Source organism: Homo sapiens, chromosome 15, assembly GCF_000001405.40.
Source record: "Homo sapiens chromosome 15, GRCh38.p14 Primary Assembly".
NCBI lineage: Eukaryota > Metazoa > Chordata > Mammalia > Primates > Hominidae > Homo > Homo sapiens.
The window spans coordinates 59610539-59633793 of NC_000015.10; the positions used below are offsets into that span (position 1 = coordinate 59610539).

The following is a 23255-nucleotide window of genomic DNA, read 5'->3' on the forward strand; positions in this document are numbered from 1 at the left end:
TTCCTTCCCTCCTTCCTTCCCTCCTTCCTTCCCTCCCTCCTTCCCTCCCTCCTTCCCTCCCTCCTTCCTTCCCTCCCTCCATCCCTCCCTCCTTCCCTCTCTCCATCCCTCCCTCCTTCCTTCCTTCCCTCCCTCTTTCCTTCCCTCCTTCCCTCTTTCCCTCCTTCCTTCCTTCCCTCTCTCCCTCCTTCTTTCCTTCCCTCTCTCCCTCCTTCCCTCCTTACCTCCCTCCTTCCTTCCTTTCCTCCTTTCTTTTCTTCCTTTTCTCTTCTTCTCTTTCTCTCTCCCCCTCCCTCCTTCCCTCCCCCTCCCTCCTTCCCTCCCCCTTCCTCCTTCCCTCCCCTTCTCTCCCTCCCCCTCCCCTCTGCCTCCCCCTCCCCTCTGCCTCCCCCTCCCCTCTGCCTCCCCCTCCCCCTCCCCCTCCCCTCCCCTCCCCCTCCCCTCCCCCTCCCCTCCCCTCCCCCTCCCCTCCCCCTCCCCTCCCCCTCCCCTCCCCCTCCCCCTCCCCTCACCCTCCCCCTCCCCTCGCCCTCCCCCTCCCCTCGCCCTCCCCCTCCCCTTCTCCTCCCCCTCCCCTTCTCCTCCCCCTCCCCTTCTCCTCCCCCTCCCCTTCTCCTCCCCCTCCCCTTCTCCTCCCCTCCCCCTCCCCTCCCCTCCCCCTTTCTTCTTTCCCTCCCCTCCCCCTTTCTTCTTTCCCTCCCCTTCCCCTTTCCTCTTTCCCTCCCCTTCCCCTTTCCTCTTTCCTTCCTTTCTTTTCTCTCCTCTCTCTTTCTCTTTCTCTCTCTCTCTCTTTCTTTTCCTCTTTAATCTCTTTTCTCTTTTCTTCTTTAATCTCTTTTCTCTTCCACTCCAGGCCATGTGAAGTGCATCCAGGAGGGCTGTCTAGAGCAAGGGGGAACTTTGAGTGCAGAGAGGATGTGGAGCTCTAAGGAGGAACCTACAGGCTGTCCCTGTCTTTCAGCAAATTGCATCCAGTCTGAGCTTCACTTTGCAACCCTGATTAGAAACCAGTTTGATCACACTGGGTCTTTCAACCGTTTGTCTGTGGCTAGAGTTCATAACTTCATCTTTGTTAAGAGCCCACTACCTAGAACATTTATTTAATGTTAGAGCTCAAAACACCCTACCTCCCCTCTCCTCATCTTCTTTAGTGCCTTCAGTCTTTTTCAAACCCTAGCTCCAGCCTAATAAGTAACACATTAACTGGGTTTTCCTATTTATCTATCCTCTCGCATTACTTCTCTGAGTCAGAGCCTCTTCTCTCTAAGTCACGGGAACTGCCCTTGCTACTTGTGACCTGCCCTTTACTCAGCAGTTTTTGTTCTGGGAAGCCCTGGGATTCTGCTAATACCTATCACTGTAGGTGCTGAAGGGAAACAGATGAAGAACATGACCTCAAGGAGCTTCCTGTCAATGAGAAGACCAAGCTGACGCCTGGCAAAGGTAAATGCCACCATAACAAATTAAGTAAAAGTGTGCATTAGCTAATTTGTAAATTCAGCTTAAGATGAATCCTGCTTCTTGGGCCCTTCTCTGACGCTGGTGTTGGGACTGTAGGATTCCTCGAGCCTCCGTCAAGGTTAACATCAAATCCCACTGGCTTCTCTCAGCACCACCTTGATGACCCTAGCTTAGTTTCTCTGTTTCCCATGACTGGAACTCTTAGACCTTTCCACAAACATACAAGGATTTATAATTCAAAGCTCAAGCGATGAAGTTGAAGCTTTTGGCCCATAGGAAGCCTGAACTAGTGATTAGGAGAAAAAGATTGAGGAGTCTGAGTGGGAAGAGTTAGCTATTTGAAAGACAGCATTATAGTAGTAGTCATTGTAGGAAAACTCAGGACTGGGTTGGACTTACTTATATTATGTTGCTTTATATTTTGGTTACTGAGGGAGGTGAAGGTCATCCTTTCAGTTCTTGGGATGTCTAAATAGCTTCATGACTCCTGGGCTGTTGGATAAATTTGCTTTCAGCATCATCTGGCTGTACCTTTTGTCCTTAGCAGGGGTAAAAGGAACCCTGTGAAAAGCATCATACCCCAGGTTTCAGTTTTTGCCTTGAAATGTGCCCGGGATCCCAGGCAGTCTGGGACTGCGCCCTTTCTCCCTCTTGCCAAGTGTCCTGTATGTTCTTCAGGGCTAGCATGGAATTAAGGTGAGGAAGCTGCTGGCCATCTTTCTGAATGCTTGCCTGATCTCTGCAGGTTGCCTCACCCCCGATCTTCCTGTGCCCTTCCGCAGCCATTCTGTCCCCTCTCCTGTACCTCCCTGGGGTCAGTTGCAGCTCATCCCTGGTCTTATTCTGCCTGAGGTGCTGAGGGTGACAACTTACAATAGAGTCTCTCCACAGAACACAGAGATGGAGGGCAATTCTTAGTCCTTTCCCTCACTACATCATAAACATTAACACTTCTGCTTGGTCCAGAGTTCAGGAATGCTACTTGTAACCACCTTGAGTTATTTTGTCAGTAAAATAGGTCTTTGTGGGCTAGCACTGGATCTATTTCATGATAACCTTCACTGAGGGGCTGTAAGTACCAGGCTATATTTGCCTGGTCCTTCATATGTATCTTGTTTAATCTTCTCAATAGTAGTAGAAAACAAATATTAGCATTAGCTTCTATTATGCAAAAGAATTCACTAAAATACAGACTGATGAATGAATTTGTTGCAGATCATTCAGCTTGAATGTGGCAGAGCCAGGATTCAGACCTAGCTTTTTTGGGCTGAGTCCCACGCTGGGCTTTATTACTAGGTACTTGACGTTACTATAATGTAGACCATCTCAACAAAATAGAGCCACGATTTCTTAATGTGTTATTAACAAATACTTAACACATAACCAACTTACTTTGGTTACCTTAAAAATAAAATATTTGGCTGGGCATGGTGGCTCATACCTGTAATCCTAGCATTTTGGGAGGCTGAGGCGGGGAGATTGCTTGAGCTCCTGAGTTCAAGACCAGCCAGGGGAACAGCAAACTCCATCTCTACAATAAATAAATAAATAAATAAATAAATAAATAAATAAATAAATAAAAATAAAAATAAATCAGCTGAGTGTAATCTCAGCTACTCAGGAGGCTGAGGTAGGAGGATCGCTTGAGCCCAGGAGGCAGAGGTTGCAGTGAGCTGAGATGGCGCCACTGCACTCCAATCTGGGCTGTACAGCCAGACCTTGTCTCAAATGACAACAACAAAAATATTCAGGCCCGGCACAGTGGCTCACATTTTTAATCCCAGCACTTTGGAAGCCCAGGAGCTTGAGACCAGCCTGGGCAACACAGTGAAACCGCATCTCTACAAAAAAAATACAAATAATAAAAATTAGCTGGGCATGGTGGCTTGTGCCTGTAGTCCCAGCTACTTGGGAAGCTAAGGTGGAAGGATGGCTTGAACCCAGGAGTTCGAGGCTGCAGTGAGCTATGATCTGCCACTGCACTCCAGCCTGGGTGACAGCGAGACCCTGTCTCTGAAAAACACATACACAAACAAAAGCCCTCAACTATTCAAGGTGTTGTCTCTTACTGAGGGAATCTATAATGCAGTTTTTATGGGAATGAAGGTGAGACTTGAGGGGGGCACCAAAGAAAAGTAAGATACTAATAAAGTGGAGGAGTTTTTCTAGATTAGAATACTGAAGCAAGTGCTTATCCCATAATCATTCTTGTCCCAGAGATTTTATACTCAACAATGGAAAGTCACTGAGAATCCCAGTACCGCAGAAAACAGCCTGTGGAGCAGGGCCCACGTAGGGGTGCAGATGACCCTGTTACCAGAAAGGGGTCCCGATCCAGACCCCAACAGAGGGTTCTTGGATCTTGCGCAAGAAAGAATTCAGGGCGAGTCCGTAAAGTGAAAGCAAGTTCATTAAGAAAGTAAAGGAATAAGAGAATAGCTACTCCATAGACATAGCAGCCCTGAGGGGACTACTGGTTGCCCATTTTAATGGTTATTTCTTGATGATACGCTAAACAAGGGGTGGGTTATTCATGCCTCCCCCTTTTAGATCAAATAGGGTATCTTCCTGTTGTTGCCATGGTATTTGTAAATTGTCATGGCACTGGGGGCAGTGTAGCAGTGAGGAGGACAGGAGGTCACTCTCGTCACCATCTTGGTTTTGGTGGGTTTTAGCTGGCTTCTTTACTACAATCTGTTTTATCAGCAAGATTGTTATGACCTGTATCTTGGGCCTATCTCCTCTATCTCATCCTGTGATTTAGAATGCCTTAACCATCTGCTAATGCAGCCCAGTAGGTCTCAGCCTCATTTTACCCAGCCCTTATTCAAGATGGAGTTGCTCTGGTTCAAGCACCTCTGACAACCCTACATGACTTTCTTGTCTTTGCTGTGGCTTCATCTAAGTCAGAGGCCGGTGGGCAGAGGACCAAAAAATAAAATACCTAAATTCTCTGCGCTGAAAATCTTGGAGGTGTGTGCATGTAAACAATTTGTGCACCAAGAAGGCAACTCTGACTCATCTCCATTATTGCCTCATTATCTTCAGGAGAAATCCACCCTTCTCAACTCTACTTTGTAATGCTGGAGGTTATTCATGCCTCTTGCAAACCACGTTTCTGCTTAAACTCTGCCAATAAAGGGCACTGGAGGGAGACAGCCGGCTGGAGGAGGGACTTCCTGTTTGCTTCCTATCTGCTTCCTGGTTCTGTGAGCATCACCATGTCAACGCCTATTTATGTCTCAGTGGCTGTTCCTTTGTGTAGCTGCACTAAATTCAGTTTACAGTAGCTATCGGCAAAGATTTCATTTGCCTCCTGAGAGGTCTGGATCTCAGCCCAGAGGGCCCTCCTGTGAGCTCAGAGACCTCAGCATTTGTTGAGTGGTCACCACTCTTCAGAGCCATGAGTTTCAGCTTCTTCGGTGTCTCTCCACCCAAAATTTCAATTTAATAATTTTCAGTTCCTCCCTTAATTCCCTCAATCTAGGAGTGGTAGCTATGTCCAACAATTGCTAGTGCCTTAATAGTGACTCCTTCCCCAACACTTTATATCTTAACTTTATACCTAGTTGAGTTCTTTATATTAAATTTGCCCTGTTCAGGCTGGGCGTGGTGGCTCACTCCTGTAATCCCAGCACTTTGGGAGGCCGAGGTGGGAGGATCACTTGAGCCCAGGAATTTGAGATGAGCGTGGGCAACATAGCAAGACCTCATCTCTACTTTAAAAAAAAAAAAAAAATTATCTCCGCATGGTGGTGTGTGCCTGTGGTCCCAGCTACTCAGGATGCTGGGGCAGGAGGATGGCTTGAGCCCAGGAGGACAAGGCTGCATTGAGCCGTAATCACACCACTGCACTCCAGCCTGGGCGACAGAGCCAGATACTTTGTAAAAACAACAAAAAACTTGCTCTGTTCAGATATTTGGTTAGGAGTGTTGCTTTTTAGGAGGAGCAGTTGGGGGCCGGGTTGGGGAGAAGCTAACAATGTCAGCAGCTTTGAAGAAGGCATTTTGTAATCTATACCATGGCCAAAACCACCCCATGGGGCTCTCACTGAAGTCCAACAGCCCATAGTGTAATCCATTCCTTAGACTGCCAACAGCTCTAGACTCATAGACATTAGTGAGGGAGCTCTACAAACTGGAACCCTGTGGGTATTTCTACAACTTACAGATTATTAATAGTCGTGCAAAGACAGGCAAATGGATGTTTTCTGGTGGGGTACCGGGAGGGAGCAGTTGCATTTGAAGAATGAACTATGGATTTCATTGATGTGCTTTTTTTAAAGAAAAGTAAAATAACAAAAGAAAAATCCTTGAAGAGTATTTTTATTCCCACCTCTTGTAATGTTCAGGGAACATGAGTGACATTTGGACTCCCAAACAAAAGAAGGGAGGGGCATATCTCTCTGTTTCTATGGTTCCTCGTTGAGGGAAAAAGGCTTTCAAGTTCTTGCGTGAGCACTGACAGGCTTTTATGAATAGTTGGTGACACAGGTACAAACTGGGCTGTTCTGGCTGAAATATCTGTTTGCCTTGTCGGATATTGCCAGCATTCTTCCTGCCTCACTGACCTCCCTGAATGACTTGGGCTTGAGAATGTTTCTGCATGATTTCTCTGAGCTTGCTGTCTTACCTGAGAGCAGGAAGTCAAAAGGAGAGTGATGGAGCCACCTGCTGCCCTCTACTTTGCAGATATTAAAGAGGAGCCTGAAACTGTTCCTTGGACATCTTATGAATGTCAGAAAATACCTTTTGGAGGGTTAGAAGATCAGGGGACATGGTTGTTCACATTTGCTGCCACGGAACACCGCCAGTCTTCACTTGGAAACAGAATCACGCCTTGTGAAGAGATCATCCCTAAGCAGGAGAGAAGCTACTAAAGGTGAGAATTTTCTTCATTTTTCATTTTCCTTCCTCTTAGATTCCCATAAAAGCTATTACTAAAGAGAATACATTCTTGTGTTTAGGAAGAGCTACAACAAGGGAAAATAATCATTGCTTGAAGGATGTGGCACATTTTGTCCCTCTCCTTATAGGGATTATTTTCTATAATATCTGGTTTTCTTTACTGATATTCAGTACCCTTTATTGTATTTATTTTTTCTTTTTTTTCCATATTCATCTTAGGATTTCAATGTACAATGTTTTTTCTTTATTTTTCTTTTGTTTTCTTTCTTTCTTTTTTTTTTTTTAAAGGGGCTTCCTGGTCTTCATCGGACAGTGAAATTTGTTTGGGAGTCCAAACAAAATATAAAAGAGCTATAATACTTCCTGTATTGTATTTCAAAGGTAGCTGTGGTTTGTTGGAACAAGCATTAGGCTTGTAGACAAAAACACTGGGGGAGAAGAGAGAGTGGAGAGGAGTCCTGGATTTGCTTCTTAAAACATGTGTATTTGGCAAGTTATTTAGCTTCTGTTTTCCTATCTATAAAAGAGGCTTAATAATACATTTCAGATTGGTTGTGAAGGTTATTAAATGGGACAGTGTAAATAAATATTTCTCACCCACAAAAGGTACTCATTAAATATTGTATATACACAGCTTGTGTGCAAGTATATTTTAAACTTGGATGGATACTCTGAATGATTTCAATGCATTTTTGGATAATATCCAGTTATTTTTACTTCTTTAAGAACATTTTTTAAAAAGTGTGGCTAGATGTCACATCTGACCAATGAATTATATATGGTGAAAAGCATTCTAATGCTATATAAATTGCCAAAATAGAAGCAAGAAATGTTTTGAAAGGACCTTTAGGTTTCTAGAACCGATGCCAAGAGTCTGAATTTTATGGATTTTTCTCTCCAGATCTATCAGAAATTCCAGACCCCAGATAAGAGTTATATTCTAGGGTGGTAAGGCATGAGAAGAAGAATGAGGAATGAAGGGTGGGTGGGGACGTGCTCTTACTAATGACGCTCCATGGCAGCAGGTGCTCAGTTGTTCCTTTTCTCCTGGGGTGGAGGTGGATCCAGATCCAGACTTGAGTGTGGTCGGCTAGTTTGTAGGGTCAGATTACAGATCTCCATCAACAAACCAGATGTAAGGGGCTTCTAGGCAGGTCTTTACTAAGGATTTTTGTCCAGGTAAGAAATATTTTTTGCCATCAGTTTGGAATTGAACTTGATGTTTCTGGGAATGATTGGTTTGTAACTGGAGGCATTTTGTTCTGTCCAAGGATTGTGTCCTCCTCCACCTTCCCTGTGCTCGGTCTCCACCTGTCTCCCATTCTGTGACGATGGTTCAATGGAAGAGACTCTGCCAGCTGCATTACTTGTGGGCTCTGGGCTGCTATATGCTGCTGGCCACTGTGGCTCTGAAACTTTCTTTCAGGTTGAAGTGTGACTCTGACCACTTGGGTCTGGAGTCCAGGGAATCTCAAAGCCAGTACTGTAGGAATATCTTGTATAATTTCCTGAAACTTCCAGCAAAGAGGTCTATCAACTGTTCAGGGGTCACCCGAGGGGACCAAGAGGCAGTGCTTCAGGCTATTCTGAATAACCTGGAGGTCAAGAAGAAGCGAGAGCCTTTCACAGACACCCACTACCTCTCCCTCACCAGAGACTGTGAGCACTTCAAGGCTGAAAGGAAGTTCATACAGTTCCCACTGAGCAAAGAAGAGGTGGAGTTCCCTATTGCATACTCTATGGTGATTCATGAGAAGATTGAAAACTTTGAAAGGCTACTGCGAGCTGTGTATGCCCCTCAGAACATATACTGTGTCCATGTGGATGAGAAGTCCCCAGAAACTTTCAAAGAGGCGGTCAAAGCAATTATTTCTTGCTTCCCAAATGTCTTCATAGCCAGTAAGCTGGTTCGGGTGGTTTATGCCTCCTGGTCCAGGGTGCAAGCTGACCTCAACTGCATGGAAGACTTGCTCCAGAGCTCAGTGCCGTGGAAATACTTCCTGAATACATGTGGGACGGACTTTCCTATAAAGAGCAATGCAGAGATGGTCCAGGCTCTCAAGATGTTGAATGGGAGGAATAGCATGGAGTCAGAGGTACCTCCTAAGCACAAAGAAACCCGCTGGAAATATCACTTTGAGGTAGTGAGAGACACATTACACCTAACCAACAAGAAGAAGGATCCTCCCCCTTATAATTTAACTATGTTTACAGGGAATGCGTACATTGTGGCTTCCCGAGATTTCGTCCAACATGTTTTGAAGAACCCTAAATCCCAACAACTGATTGAATGGGTAAAAGACACTTATAGCCCAGATGAACACCTCTGGGCCACCCTTCAGCGTGCACGGTGGATGCCTGGCTCTGTTCCCAACCACCCCAAGTACGACATCTCAGACATGACTTCTATTGCCAGGCTGGTCAAGTGGCAGGGTCATGAGGGAGACATCGATAAGGGTGCTCCTTATGCTCCCTGCTCTGGAATCCACCAGCGGGCTATCTGCGTTTATGGGGCTGGGGACTTGAATTGGATGCTTCAAAACCATCACCTGTTGGCCAACAAGTTTGACCCAAAGGTAGATGATAATGCTCTTCAGTGCTTAGAAGAATACCTACGTTATAAGGCCATCTATGGGACTGAACTTTGAGACACACTATGAGAGCGTTGCTACCTGTGGGGCAAGAGCATGTACAAACATGCTCAGAACTTGCTGGGACAGTGTGGGTGGGAGACCAGGGCTTTGCAATTCGTGGCATCCTTTAGGATAAGAGGGCTGCTATTAGAGTGTGGGTAAGTAGATCTTTTGCCTTGCAAATTGCTGCCTGGGTGAATGCTGCTTGTTCTCTCACCCCTAACCCTAGTAGTTCCTCCACTAACTTTCTCACTAAGTGAGAATGAGAACTGCTGTGATAGGGAGAGTGAAGGAGGGATATGTGGTAGAGCACTTGATTTCAGTTGAATGCCTGCTGGTAGCTTTTCCATTCTGTGGAGCTGCCGTTCCTAATAATTCCAGGTTTGGTAGCGTGGAGGAGAACTTTGATGGAAAGAGAACCTTCCCTTCTGTACTGTTAACTTAAAAATAAATAGCTCCTGATTCAAAGTATTACCTCTACTTTTTGCCTAGTATGCCAGAAATAATATAAATATAAACAGATAAAGTGTGTGAGACTTTTTCTCATAACTATTCATGACATTTAAAATCCCTAGGGGCTGGCAAGAGAGTTCTCATTATTCTGAAATGGTCCTGACAAGCTGCATGAATAGCAATTTTTTTTTTGAGACAGAGTCTTGCTCTGTCACCCAGGCTGGACTGCAGTAGTGCAATCTCAGTTCACTGCAACCTCCGCCTCCCAGGTTCAAGCGATACTCCCACCTCAGCCTCCTGAGTAGCTGGGACTACAGGCATGCAGCACCATGTCTGGCTAATTTTTGTATTTTTAGTAGAGGCCGGGTTTCACCATATTCGCCAGGCTGGTCTTGAACTCCTGACCTTGTGATCTGCCCGCCTCGGCCTTCCGAAATGCTGGGATTACAGGTGGGAACTACTGCGCCTGGCCTACAAATAGCAAATTCTAACGAAGACAGGGGAACAGGGATGGTTCTTCCATTGTTAAAAGCCATCCTCATTTTGTTTATATTGCCAGGTTTGTGATTTTTCTGTAAAGGAAAAGGCAGGGTGATTTAACCAGTTTGACCACCTTTCCTGTACTCTTACAGGAAAATCGCAGCACTAATTCTAATTTTGTCCACTTTACAGCCAAAGCTTAGCTAATGTTCCATAAAGGAGATAATAGCCAATCAGGTAAGGTAATGTGTAATTCATTATTCAAAGTGGAACATGTTTTTGTAGGGGGAGAGTCTGCACTATTAATAATTGTATTGAGAAATAAAAATAAACTAGGACTATTCAGTTAAACCAGGATGTCTTATTATTCCATGTTTAGGCCTCTTGAGTCAAAACTCTTTTTTTTTTTTTTTTTTTTTTTTTTTTTGGAGACAGGTTCTCACTCTGTTGCCCAGGCTGGAGTGCAGTGGCATGATCTTGGCTCACTGAAGCCTCTGCCTCCCAGGTTCAAGTGATTCTCCCCCCAAACCTTGCAAGTAGCTGGGATTACAGATGTGAGCCACCATGCCCAGCTGATTTTTGTGTATTTTTAGTAAAGATGGGGTTTCACCATGTTGGCCAGGTTGGTCTCAAACTCCTGGCCTCAAGTGATCCACCTGCCCCAGCCTCCCAAAGTGCTGGGATTACAGGTGTGAGCCACCATGCCTGGTCCCCTCTTGAGTCAAAACTCTTATTTCAGAATGCGAATGGAAGGATCGCTATTAGTGATTCTGCAGATTACACATTTCCTTGCGGGGAGACAATAAGGTATGTGTAAATACATATATGTGTGTGTATGTATACACACATACAGCACGCTACCTCCCAAGTGTTACCTAGTGAAACAGTTTCCTTTCCGAAGCTCCAGAGATGGTTGTTGGCTAAGTTATACTCTTCTGTGATGGGCAAGGGATACTATAAAAACATAGGCAGTGCCCTTTGAATATAGTACAGCTCATCTTCTGCATACGATATGCCCTGGAAAGGTGATTTATATGCAAGTTAATTGGTGTAATCTGAAGGATGCTCCCATTAATACGTCATGATGTCATTAATATGTTTCTTCCTTTCTGATTTTTGTTTTTTTTTTTTTTTTTGAGACAGAGTCTCACTCTGTCACCCAGGTTGGAGTGCAACGAATGGCGCAATCTTGGCTCATTACAACCTCCGCCTCCTGGGTCCAAGCGATTCTCCTGCCTCAGCCTCCTGAGTAACTGGGATTACAGGTGTGTGCCACCTTGCCTGGCTAATTTTTTTGTATTTTTTTAGTAGAAACAGGGTTTCACCATGTTGGTCAGGCTGGTCTGAACTCCTGACCTCAAGTGATCCACTTGCCTTGGCTTCCCAAAGTGCTGGGATTACAGGCGTGAGCTACCGCACCCAGCCCTTTCTGAGTGTTGTCATTCAATTCATCAAGTTTTCTGTCATGATCAACTTTCTCTATGCAAACCCTGTAACTCTGACAGTTATCACTGTGTCTGACACAGTGAATTTTTTATTTATAAGGTAGTTACTTTTGGCCAGGTGTGGTGGCTGACGCCTGTAATCCCAGCACTTTGGGAGGCCAAGGTAGGCAGATCACTTGAGGTCAGGAGTTCAAGATCAGCCTGGCCAACATGGTGAATCCCCATCTCTACTAAAAATATAAAAATTAGCCAGACATGGTGGTGGGTACCTGTAATCCCAGCTACTTGGGAGGCTGAGGCAGGAGAATCGCTTGAACATGGGAGGCAGAGGTTGCAGTGAGCTGAGATCGTACCACTGCACTCCAGCCTGGGCGATAGAGCCAGACTGAGTCTCAAAAAAAAAAAAAAAGTTACCTTTTTTTGGTAAGGTTGTACTTCTTAGATAATGGTCATTGTCACTACCAACTTGCCTGCATTGTAATAGAGTCCTATTCACTTTGCTCCCAACCCCACTACGGAGATGACTGATGACTAGTTGTATACACAGTGGGTGTGCCCTGAGAGGTCTGTTGCCAGCAGTGGTGATCGATCACGGCCTCCCCCTGCTGGCTGATGTGATGGTCCTTGGTCCTCCTCTGAAGGAGGTAGAAGGGGCACACGGCCACCGTGGGAAGTAGGCAGAAAAGCCTCCCTGGGTGCAGATTCTCTGAGAAAAGAACTTTGGCCTCATAGTTAACTTACTCCAAAAGCTTTCATGTGAAATAATTTATAATTTTTTATATAAATAAAAAGATTAAAATGTGAACTTGTCATTTTTTTGGGGATAAGTTACTGAAATTTTTCAACCATTGAAATTTTCTCTAGAAATATATTCAGGTGCGTAGGAAGTGCTGTTTATTTAATAACACAGGGTCTTCATATCAGAGGGGTCGAATTTAGCCCTCATTTGTTTAGTGTATTATAGAAATCATACACCAACACATCTGCTGATTTTTCTCTTCCCTCTGAGTCATATCTGTGTCTTTAACCGTTCTCTGGTAAGGAAAAATCTCACAAATTAATTGAACAACTGTGTTTGTATTACCTCTCAGGGTTTGGATTTCCTCCTTATTTTTTATCTGTGGGCTATTGGTAAGCATTGTTTTAATAACTGCATTTTTGTTGTACACTCTGCTCATTGTAGTTTTTGTCTTTCTCTTGGTTGAGTGGAAAAAATGTTTTTTTTTTTTTTTTTGGAAACGGGGGACTCACTCTGTTGCCCGGGCTGGAGTGCAGTGCTGCAGTGATGGCTCACCACAGCCTCGACCTCCTGGGCTCAAGCAATCCTTCCACCTCGGCCACCTGAGTAGCTGGAACTGCAGGCGTGCTCAGGGAGTCTGAGGCTGCAGTGAACTATGATCATTGTGCCACTGCATTCCAGCTTCAGTGACAGAGTGAGACCCTGTCTCAAAAAGCAAAAACAAAAAACCCACAAAAGCGTTGACAGGGAATCCCTCAATAAAAAGGTGATGTTCAAGTAAAGGTCTGAAAGAAGGCCAGGCACAGTGGCTCATACCTGTAATGCCAGCACTTTGGGAGGCCGAGGCGGGAGGATTGCCTGAACCCAGGTCAACCTCCTGGGCTCTAGCGATCCTCCTGCCTCAGCCTCCTGAGTAGCTGGGACTACAGGCATATGCTACCATGCCCAGCTTGAAAATTTCTCAAGAAAGAAGGAGAAGGCCGTTGATAACCTTGCTTGGGAACATATGACATACATCAGTTGAGGAGGTCAAATACTTTGATTAAAACTGGAAAAAACATTGGGGCTAGGTGTGGTGGTTCACACCTGTAATCCCAGCACTTCAGGAGGCTGAGGTGGGAGGATTACTTGAGCTCAGAAATTTGAGGATGCAGTGAGCCATGATCGTGCTACTGCACTGCAAACTGGCATGAGAGCAAGATTCTGACTCTTAAAAAAAAAAAAAAAAAAGAATAATTAAATACCCTGCCTGCTTGTCTGCTTTAAGTACCTTACTTGAGCCAAAGATCAGTTTTTCTATTTTTTTAAGATTCTTCTTACTTTTTAAAGATGAGATCTCACTACGTTGCCTAGCCTGGTTTTGAACTCATGGGCTCAAGCAATCCTCTTTCCTCAGCCTCCTGAGTAGCTGGGATTACAGGCAGGTGCCACTGCACCTGTCCCCAAGAATCTGATCTTACTGCTTCCATTTAGTCTTTTTTTTGAGACAAGTTTTGCTCTTCTTGCCCAGGCTGGAGTGCAGTGGCATGGTCTTGGCTCACTGCAACCTCCACCTCTGGGGTTCAAGTGATTCTCCTGTCTCAGTCTCCCAAGTAGCTGGGGTTACAGGTGCCCGCCACCATGCCCAGCTAATTTTTGTATTTTTAGTATAGACAGGGTTTCTCCATCTTGGCCAGGCTGGTCTCGAACTCCTGACCTCAGGCCATCCACCCCCTTGGCTTCCTAAAGTGCTGGGATTACAGGTGTGAGCCACCACACTGGGCCCATTTAATTTTTTATTACAAAGATGAATAAGATATGGTTTCTGCCTCTATGAAGCTTGAATGTACTGGCAATCAATGAGATAACGTCTTCATCCCACAACTATTGTGCTCTTACTGTTTACCAGGAATTGTTCTTGGCACTGGGGATACATCAGTCAAAACACAGACAAAAATTCCAACACTTGTGTTGTTTGCATACTAGTGGGAAACAGACTGTAAATTATTATAAGGAAACAAATGATAGAGATCAAAGGAAGTGATGGAGAACTTGGGAGGATGGAGTAGAAAGGGAAGATATTTAAAATTTTAAATAGGGTGGCCTGGGCTGGGTGTGGAGGCTCACATCTGTAATCCCAGCACTTTGGAAGGCTGAGGCAGGAGGAAAGCTTGAGCCTGTGGAGTTAGAGGCTGTAGTGAACTATAATCATTGTGCCACTGCATTCCAGCTTCAGCGACAGGGTGAGACCTTGTCTCAAAACAAAAAAACAAAACAAAAACACACAAAACCAAAACCAAAACACACACACACACACACACCCACACACCCACCCATGGGTGGACAGGAAATCCCTCGATGAAAAGGTGATGTTCAAGTAATGATCTGAAGGAAGGTCAGGCATGGTGGCTGACGCCTGTAATCCCAGCACTTCAGGAAGCCAAGGAGGAAAGATTGCTTGAGCCCAGGTGTTCGAGACCAGCCTAGGCAACATGGCAAAACGCTGTCTCTACAAAAAATAGAAATATTAGCCAGGTGTGGTGCACACCTGTAATTCCAGCTACTTGGTAGACTGAGGCAGGAGGATTACTTGGGCTCAGGAGTCGAGGATGCAGTGAGCAATGATTGTACCACTCAGTATACTTCAGCCTGGGTGACACAGCAAGACCCCATCTCAAGGAAAAATAAAAACATCTGAGGAGACGAGGAAATGATCCATGAGGATTAAGGGGGAAGATCACATTCTAGAGGAAAGACTTGCAAGGCCCTGAAGCAGGAACCCACCTGTCATGTTTCAGGAACAGCGAGGAAGCTATTGTAAGTGGATTAAAGGAGGAGAAGAAGAGGAGTTAAGAGGGGCATACAGAGGAGGCCAGTAGAGGCTTTTTTAAGCTATTGTATGGAGTTTGTCTTCTCCTTTGAGTGAAATAGGCCATTGTAGGGGTTTCTGAGCAGAGAACTCACATTTTAATAGGATGACTCTAGCCTGCTGCATTGAGAACAGACTGGCTTGGGGGCGAGGGTAGAGCAGGGAGGCCAGTTAGGAGACTATAGCAATAATCCAGGCACTATGCAATAGTGGCTTGAACCAAAGCCGTAGTAGTAGAAGTGGTGAAAGTGGCCAGATTCTGGAATTTTTTTTTTTTTTTGTACAGGCTAGAGTGCAGTGGCATGATCTCAGCTCACCACAGCCTCGACCTCCTGGGCTCAAGTGATCCTCCTGCCTCAGCCCCCCAAGTGGCTCGGACTACAGGTGCATGCCACCATGTCCAGCTAACTTTGGTATGTTTTGTAAAGATGGGGTTTCACCATGTTGCCCAGGCTGGCCTTGAACTCCTGAGATAGGAGGCGATCCCCCCATCTCAGCCTCCTAAAGTGCCGGGATTACAGACGTGAGCCATCGCATCCAGCCTGGAAGTATTTTGAAGGTTCAGTGTGAGGATTTGCTGACAGATTGAGTTGGAGAGAAATAGAGGAGTAAATAACTCCAAGGGTTTTATCTTGTTAGAAGGATGGTGTTGCCACTAACTAAGATGGGAAGCCTGTGGAAGACTGGTTTTTCAGGGAAGGTCAGGACTTTGTGAACATATAAAACTGCAGATGGCTATTAGATATCCAAGTAGAGATGCTGAAGAGATGAATGTATATAGAAGTCTGAATTTGGGAGAGAGATCTGGATTGGAGATACTTACCTGGTGTTTAACAGCTTACAGATTGTGTAAAGTCATGAAACGGATAAGAACCTTAAAAGAGAGAAAAGGGAATAGAGGTTACCAAATGAATTGCAGTTTCCAAATTGCAGAGGGCAGAGAGACAAGGAGAAACCAGCAAAAGAGAGTAGGAAAGAAGCAACTAGAGTGGTAGAAGGAAAACAGGGTGAGTGTGATGTTCTGGAAGCAAACAGGAAAAAGTGTTTCAGGAAAGAGAGAGCTGATGATTGCATCAAAAGCTGCTGAGACTTGCATATGATGAGGATGAAGAAGTGACTATTGGATTTAACAACATGTAGGTAAGTAAGCTTGATAAGATCGGTTTTTGTGAAGTGCGGAGGTGAGCACTTGATTGGAGGTGGTTCAGGGAGAACAAAAGTGGATTCAGCAAGTATAGAAAATCTTTTGAGGAGTTTTACTTTAAGCCAAAAGAAGCAGAAAAAAAGTAAAGTAACTGGTTAAGAGAAGGTTATCTTGAAAATGTATAAAGTGGTAACCTGTTGGTATATTGATGGGAAAGATCTAGTCAAGAGGAAAAGATGTAGGAATGAGTTGGGAGGCTTGCCAGAATGATGACATCTTTGGAAAGAAAAGAGAGATGATTATTTAAGGGCCCAAGAAGAAAGGCTTGTCTTTCATGGAAGTATGAACAGTTCACCTACAGTAACAGGAGTGAAGGCAGCGTGGATGGACTCAGCTGTAGTAGATGGGTGGATGTTGTGGGATCTGTGGGGTTCTCTCATTGTGTCGCCTAGACTGGAGTACAGTGGCACGATCATGGCTCACTGCAGCCTCAATCTCCTGGGCTGAAGCGATCCTCCCATCTCAGCCTCTCAAGTAGCTGGGATTACAGACATGCACTATGACGCCTTGCTAATTTAAAAAATTGTAGAGACGGGGTTTTGCCATGTTGCCCAGGCTAGTCTTGAACTGTTGGCCTCAAGCAATCCTCCTGCCTCAGCCTCCTAAAGTGCTGGTATTACAGGTGTGAACCGCTGTATCCAGCCTCTTTTTCAACTAACATCTTATCTGAGGTATAATATCCGTATGCAAAAATACAAAAATTCCAAATATCTAACTCAAGAATTTTTACAAAGTGAGCACACCTGTGTAACTAGAACACTGGTCAAGAAAGAGAACATTCCCAGCAACCCAGAGTATCTCTTGTGTTCCTTTCCGATGGCTTTCCAAAAATAACCATTGTTCTCACTTCTAACATCACAGATTATTTTGCCTGTTTTTGAATTTTATGTAAGTACTATGTTCTCCTTTGTTTATGGCTCCTTAAACTCTACATTATGTTTACAAGATTCATCTATGTTGTATGTAGCAGTTCAGTGATTCAGGAAACTCAACAATATGTTTACAAGATTCATCTGTTTTTTGTAGCAGTTCAGTGATTCTCACTGCTGTGTAATAATCCATTGTATGAATATACCATAGTCGATCCATTCTGTTGACGGACATTTGGGTTGTTTCCAAGTTTTGTCCATTATAAATTGTGTTCCTAAGGACGTTCTTGAACATGTTTTGTAGTAAACATATATATACAGGCATATCTCAGAGTTATTGTGAATTTGGTTCCAGGACACTGAGTAAAGCAAATTTTGCAATACAGCAAGTCAGACAAAGTTTTAGATTTCCCAGTGTATATAAAAGTTATGTTTACACCGTATCTGTGTAATGGCATTATGTCTAAAAACACAATGTATATGCATTATTTTAAAAACACTATTGGGTAACCAGTGCAAAAAAATACTTTATTGCTAAAAAAATATTAATAATCTGAGCCTTCAGTGAGTCATGATCTTTTTGCTGATGTAGGTCTTGTCTCAATGTTGATGGCTGCTGACTGGTCAAGGGTGGTGGTTGCTGAAGGTGGGGGCACTGTGGCAATTTAAAAAAATAAGACAGCATTGAAGTTTGTCACATTGTTTGACTGTTCCTTTCATGAAAGATTTCTCTGTAGCATGCCATGCTGTTTGATAACATTTTACTCACAGGAGAACTTCCAAAATTAGAGTCAATTCTCTCATACCCTAGTGCTGCTTTATCAACTAAGTTTATGTAATATTCTAAATGCTTTGTTGTCATTTCAACAATGTTCATAGCATCTTCGCCGTTAGTGGATTTCATCTCAAGAAACCACTTTACTTTTTTTTTTTTTCTTGTGAGACAAAGTCTTGATCTGTCACCCAAGCTGGAGGGCAGTGGCGTGATCTTGGCTCACTGCAACCTCGGCCTCCCATGTTCAACTGATTCTTCCAACTCAGCATCCTGAGTAGCTGGAATTACACGCGTGCGCCACCACACGTGGCTAATTTTTATATTTTTAGTAGAGATGGGGTTTCACCATGTTGGCCAGTCTGGTCTCCAACTCCTAACCTCAAGTGCTCCAGCTGCCTTGGCCTCCCAAAGTGCTGGGATTACAGGTGTGAGTCACCATGCCTGGCCAAGAAACCACTTTCTTTGTTCATCTATAAGAAGCAACTCCTCATTTGTTCCAATTTATCATGAGATAAGATTCTAGTTCTCTTGCTCTTTCTACAACATCTGCAGTTACTTCCTCCATTGAAGTTTTTTTTTTTTTGTTTTGTTTTTTTGAGATTGAGTCTCACTCTAACAGCCAGGCTGGAGTGCAGTGGCATGATCTTGGCCCACTGTAACCTCCACCTCCAGGGTTCAAGCAATTCTGTCTCAGCCTCCCGAGTAGATGGGACTACAGGTGCAAGCCAGCATGCCCAGCTAACTTTTGTATTTTCAGTAGAGATGGGGTTTCACCATATTGGTCAGGCTGGTCTTGAACTCCTGACCTCAGGCAATCCACCTGCCTCGGCCTCCCAAAGTGCTGGGATTATAGGTGTGAGTCATGTGCCTGGCCTCCACTGGAGTCTTGAACCCCAAAAAGTCATCTATGAGAGTTGGAATCAACTTTCTCCAAACTCCTGTTAATGTTGATATTTTGGCCTCCACACCATGAATCACGAATGTTCTCAAAGGCATTTAAAATAGTGAATCCTTTCCAGAAGGTTTTTCTTTTTTTTCTTTTCTTTTCTTTTCTTTTTCTTTTTTTTTTTTTTTGAGACAGAGTCTCTGTCACCTAGGCTGGAGTGCAGTGGCACGATCTCGGGTCACTGCAACCTCTGCCTCCCGGGCTCAAGCAATTCTCCTGTTTCAGCCTCCCAAGTAGCTGAGACTACAGACACATGCTACTATGCCTGGCTAATTTTTGTGTTTTCAGTAGAGACAGGGTTTCACCATATTGGTCAGGCTGGTCTGGAACTCCACACCTCAGGTGATCCACCTGCCTCGGCCTCCCAAAGTGCTGGGATTACAGGCGTGAGCCCCCATGGCTGGCCTCCAGAAGGTTTTTCTTTTTCCTTTGAGACAGAGTCTCGCTCTGTCACCCAGGCTGGAGTGCACTGGCACAATCTTGGCTCACTGCAACATCTGCCTCTTGGGTTCAAGCATTTCTCCTGCCTCAGCCTCCTGAGTAGCTGGGATTACAGGCATGCGCTATCATGCACAGCTAATTTTTGTATTTTTAGTAGAGACAGGGTTTCACCATGTTGGCCAGGCTGGTCTTGAACTCTTCAGCTCAGGAGATCCACCTGCCTTGGCCTCCCAAAGTGCTGGAGTTACATGTGTGAGCCACCATGCCTGACCCAGAAGATTTTTCAATGGACTTTGCTCAGATTCATCAGAGGAATCACTATCTGTGATAGTTATAGCCTTACGAAATGTTTTTCCTAAATAAGACTTGAAAGTTCAACTTACTACTTGATACATGGGCTGCAGAATGGATGTTGTCTTAGCAACCGTGAAAACAACATGAATTTCCTTGTATGTCTCTATCAGAGCTTGAGTGACTAGGTATGTTTTCAACAAGCATTAATTTTTTTTTTTTTCCTGAGCAGTTGTTCTCAACAGTGGGTTTAAAATGTTTAGTTATCCATGCTATGAGCAGATGTGCTGTCATCCAGGCTTAATTCTTAAGGGTCCTAGGATTTTCAGCATGGTAAATGAACACTGGCTTCAACTTAAAGTCACTCGCTGCATTAGCCCCTAACAAGAGAGTCAGCCTGTGCTTTGAAGCCAGGCATTGACTTGTCCTCTGTAGTTACAAAAGTCCTAGAAGGCATCTTCCAATGGAAGAATGTTTGGTCTACAAGGAAAATCTGTTGAGTGTAGGCTTCTCCACCAATGATCTTAGCTAGATCTTCTGGATAACTTGCTGGAGCTTCTACATTAGCACTTACTGCTCCATCTTGCATTTTTATGTTCTGAAGACGGCATCTTTCCTTAAACCTCACAAATAAACCTCTCCTAACTCCAGACTTTTCTTCTGCAGCTTCCTCACCTCTCTCAGCCTTCACAGAATTGAAGAACATTAGGACCTTGCCTGGATTAGGCTTTGATTTAAGGGAATGTTGTGGCTGGTTGGATTAGGCTTTGGTTTAAGGGAATGTTGTGGCTGGTTTGCTCTTCTGTCTAGAGCATTCAAACTTTCTCCATATCGGCAAAAAGACTGTTTCACTTTCTTACTCATGCGTTCACTGAAGTAGCACTTTTTTAATTTTTTTTTAGGGGTTCTGCAAATGGAGTAAGAACTAGCACTTTTACTTTTCTTCAGGAATTTTTCCATTGTGTTTATGACTTGGCTGACTTTGACACAAGAGGCTCAGCTTTTGACATGTCTTCCTTTGTAAGCTTGATCATTTCTAGCTTTTTTTTTTTTTTTTTTTTAAGACGTTAGTTTTAATCTGTCACCCAGGCTGGAGTGCACTGGCGCCGTCACGGCTTACTGCAGCCTTGACCTCCAGAGCTCGGATTATCTTCCCACCTTAGCTTCCCAAGTAGCTAGGACTACAGGTGCCTGCCACCATGCCCACCTAATTTCTTGTACTATTATTTTTTAATAGAGATAGGGTTTTGCCATGTTGCCCAGGCTGGTCTTGAACTCTTGGGCTCAAGGGATCCTCCTGCCTCGGCCTTCCAAAGTGTTGGAATTACAGGTATGAGCCATTGCACCTGGCCAATGCTTTCAATTCTTTTGGGTATATACCCATAACTGGAATTGCTGGATTATTTGGTAAATTTATATATATACACACACACACACACACACACACACACACACACACACACATATATACATATATATACACATATATACACACACATATATATACATATATATATATTTTTTGAGATGGAGTCTTGCTCCATTGCCCAGGCTAGAGTGCAGTGGCGCAGGTATAGCTCACTATAGCCTCGAACTCCTGAGCTCAAGCAATTCTCCTGCCTTGGCCACCCAAGTAGATGGGACTACAGGTGCATGCCACCACACCTGGCTAATTTTTTTTTTTTTTTTGGTGGAGATGGGAGTCTCTATGTTGCCCAGGCTGGTCTCTAACTAGTGGCCTCAAGCAATCCCTCCCGCCTCAGCCTCCCAAAGTGCTGGGATTACAAGTGTGACCCGACATGCCTGGTTGGTAATTCTATTTTTAATTTTTTGAGGAACCATCATACTGTTTTCCTTAGTTGTGCCAGTTTTATATTCTCACCAATACTGTAAAAGAATTCCACTATGTCTATATTCTCACCAACACTTATTAATTTTTTTTTCTCTGCTAGTAGCCATCCTTATGGGTGTGAGGTGGTCTTCAGTATTTTTAAGATTTTATTTCATTGTCTTCTAGCTGCATAGCTGTTAACAAGTAGTCTTTGGAAATCATTATCTTTGTTTTTGTGGGTATAAAGTGTCTCTTACCTCTGCTTTTAAATTTTCTCTTTATCACTATTTTTCAGCAATTAGATTTTGATGTACTGTGGTTATCCTGCTTGGAGTTAAGCTTCTTCGTTGTTGGTTTATAGTTTTCGTCAAATTTGGAAAAATTTGGCCACTGTCTCCTTAATTTCATCTTTCTGTTCTCCCTTCCATATATAGCCACTCGATATTATTCCAAAAATCTCTGAGGTTTGATTCCTTTTTTCCCTAGTTATATTCTCTTTGTGCTGTATTTTAGATAAAATTTGTTTTTCAATTTCACTGATCTTCTTTAGTATCTAGTCTGCTATTCAGTTAATTGTTTTCATATATTGTATCTTTCATCTCTAGAAGTTCTGCTTTTTAAAAAAATCTTTGATTTTTCTCATTAAGTATTTGTATTAATACAAAAATGGCAGTTTTAACATCCTTGTCTGCTAGCTGTATCACCCCTGTCATTTCTGTGTCTGTTCCTGTTCATTATGTTTTGTCCTCATTATGGTCACATTTTCCTGCTGCTTAGCATGTCTAGTCATTTTTCTGTTAGATGGAGTACATTGTAACTCTTAAGTTATTGAGGATCTGGACTTCGTTTACTTGTGTTGGGCTTCATTTTGGCAATATTTGTGGAACAGTGTGATCTCCCTTGAGTCTGCTTTTCCGCTTTGCTAGGGTGAGTTTAAGTCAAGCAGCCTTCATTCAAGGGATATTTGATGCCTGCTACCAAGGCATGACCTTGGGGTTTCTAATGTCTTGGGTGATTACAGAGGACTCTTCCCTCTGGCATCCCCCAGTGTGAGCTTTGGGAATTGCTGTTTCCAACTCCCCACTCTTAGCTTGGCCTAGCGGAGTGTCACTGCTTCTATGCAGCCAGGCACTCAGTAAGGACTCGAGGGGACCACGGTATAGATTCCTGGAGGTTTTTTTTTCCCTCCATAGTGTTCTCCTTTCTGGAAATCTGCTTGCAGCTTCAACTATCTCACCTTTCCTCAACTCCGCAAGACTGCCAGGTTCTGTTTCTATTTCCTTTCCCTGTGCCTGCAGCTTGGATATTGCCTCCATGAAGAGAGCTGGGATGATTACAGGGTTCATCCTATTTTTTTCCTTTCTTAGGGATTACAGTCCTGTCACAGCTGCCTGTGGTCCAATATGTGGAAAACGTTTGTTTCATATACTTAATTTACTTTTCTAGTTGTTTATAGAAGGAAGTTAAGTCCCATCCTTCTTACTCTGGCATGACTAAATGTGGAAGTCTGCAGATAGAGTATTCCTATCAGGGAATAGAGGGAGTAGAAGCAGGAAAGAGAAATGCACAAAGCTTCTGTGTCCATCCCTTAACTTGGCCAAAGAATCAGTGCTGCCCATGTGTCTCCAGAAGTGGAAAGTATACCTTCACATCTCTGCCTACAGGCAAAAGAACCAGTTTTGAAGCCTATTTCTCTTGAATAGAATTTCAGGAAGTTCACAGAATCAGATAATAAGAGTTGGGATATTCAAGAGAAAGTTCCGTTGAGCATATTTCTACACAATGCTCTTTTGAGCTAATTCCCACTAAATACTTTGCTGTGTGTTGCCAAGTTCCTGTACCTCTTATTAGGTAAAATGCTTTGCCCTAAACTCCTTGCAGATTGTGCCTCCCTATGTACTAGAAAAATAAGATTACATTCTTACTACAGC

General features: G+C 43.9%; 1 protein-coding gene across 1 annotated transcript, besides 1 other annotated feature; it reads left to right on the forward strand.

The window, feature by feature from the left end:
• Positions 1-1244: 1244 nt before the first annotated feature.
• GCNT3 (glucosaminyl (N-acetyl) transferase 3, mucin type) lies at positions 1245-12185 on the forward strand. The gene is made up of 3 exons (NM_004751.3): positions 1245-1443; positions 6154-6343; positions 7641-12185. The coding sequence occupies exon 3, from the start codon at positions 7701-7703 to the stop codon at positions 9015-9017; it is 1317 nt and encodes a 438-aa protein (NP_004742.1). The 5' UTR covers positions 1245-1443; positions 6154-6343; positions 7641-7700; the 3' UTR covers positions 9018-12185.
• Positions 6038-6273: a silencer, noted in NCBI's record as "fragment chr15:59908775-59909010 (GRCh37/hg19 assembly coordinates)". NCBI's record gives its function as "represses an EF-1alpha promoter that drives an FKBP-Casp9 reporter gene in an ReSE screen in phorbol 12-myristate 13-acetate-treated (for megakaryocytic differentiation) K562 erythroleukemia cells {active_cell/tissue: K562(+PMA)}" and the evidence as "EXISTENCE:reporter gene assay evidence [ECO:0000049][PMID:32094911]".
• Positions 12186-23255: the final 11070 nt, after the last annotated feature.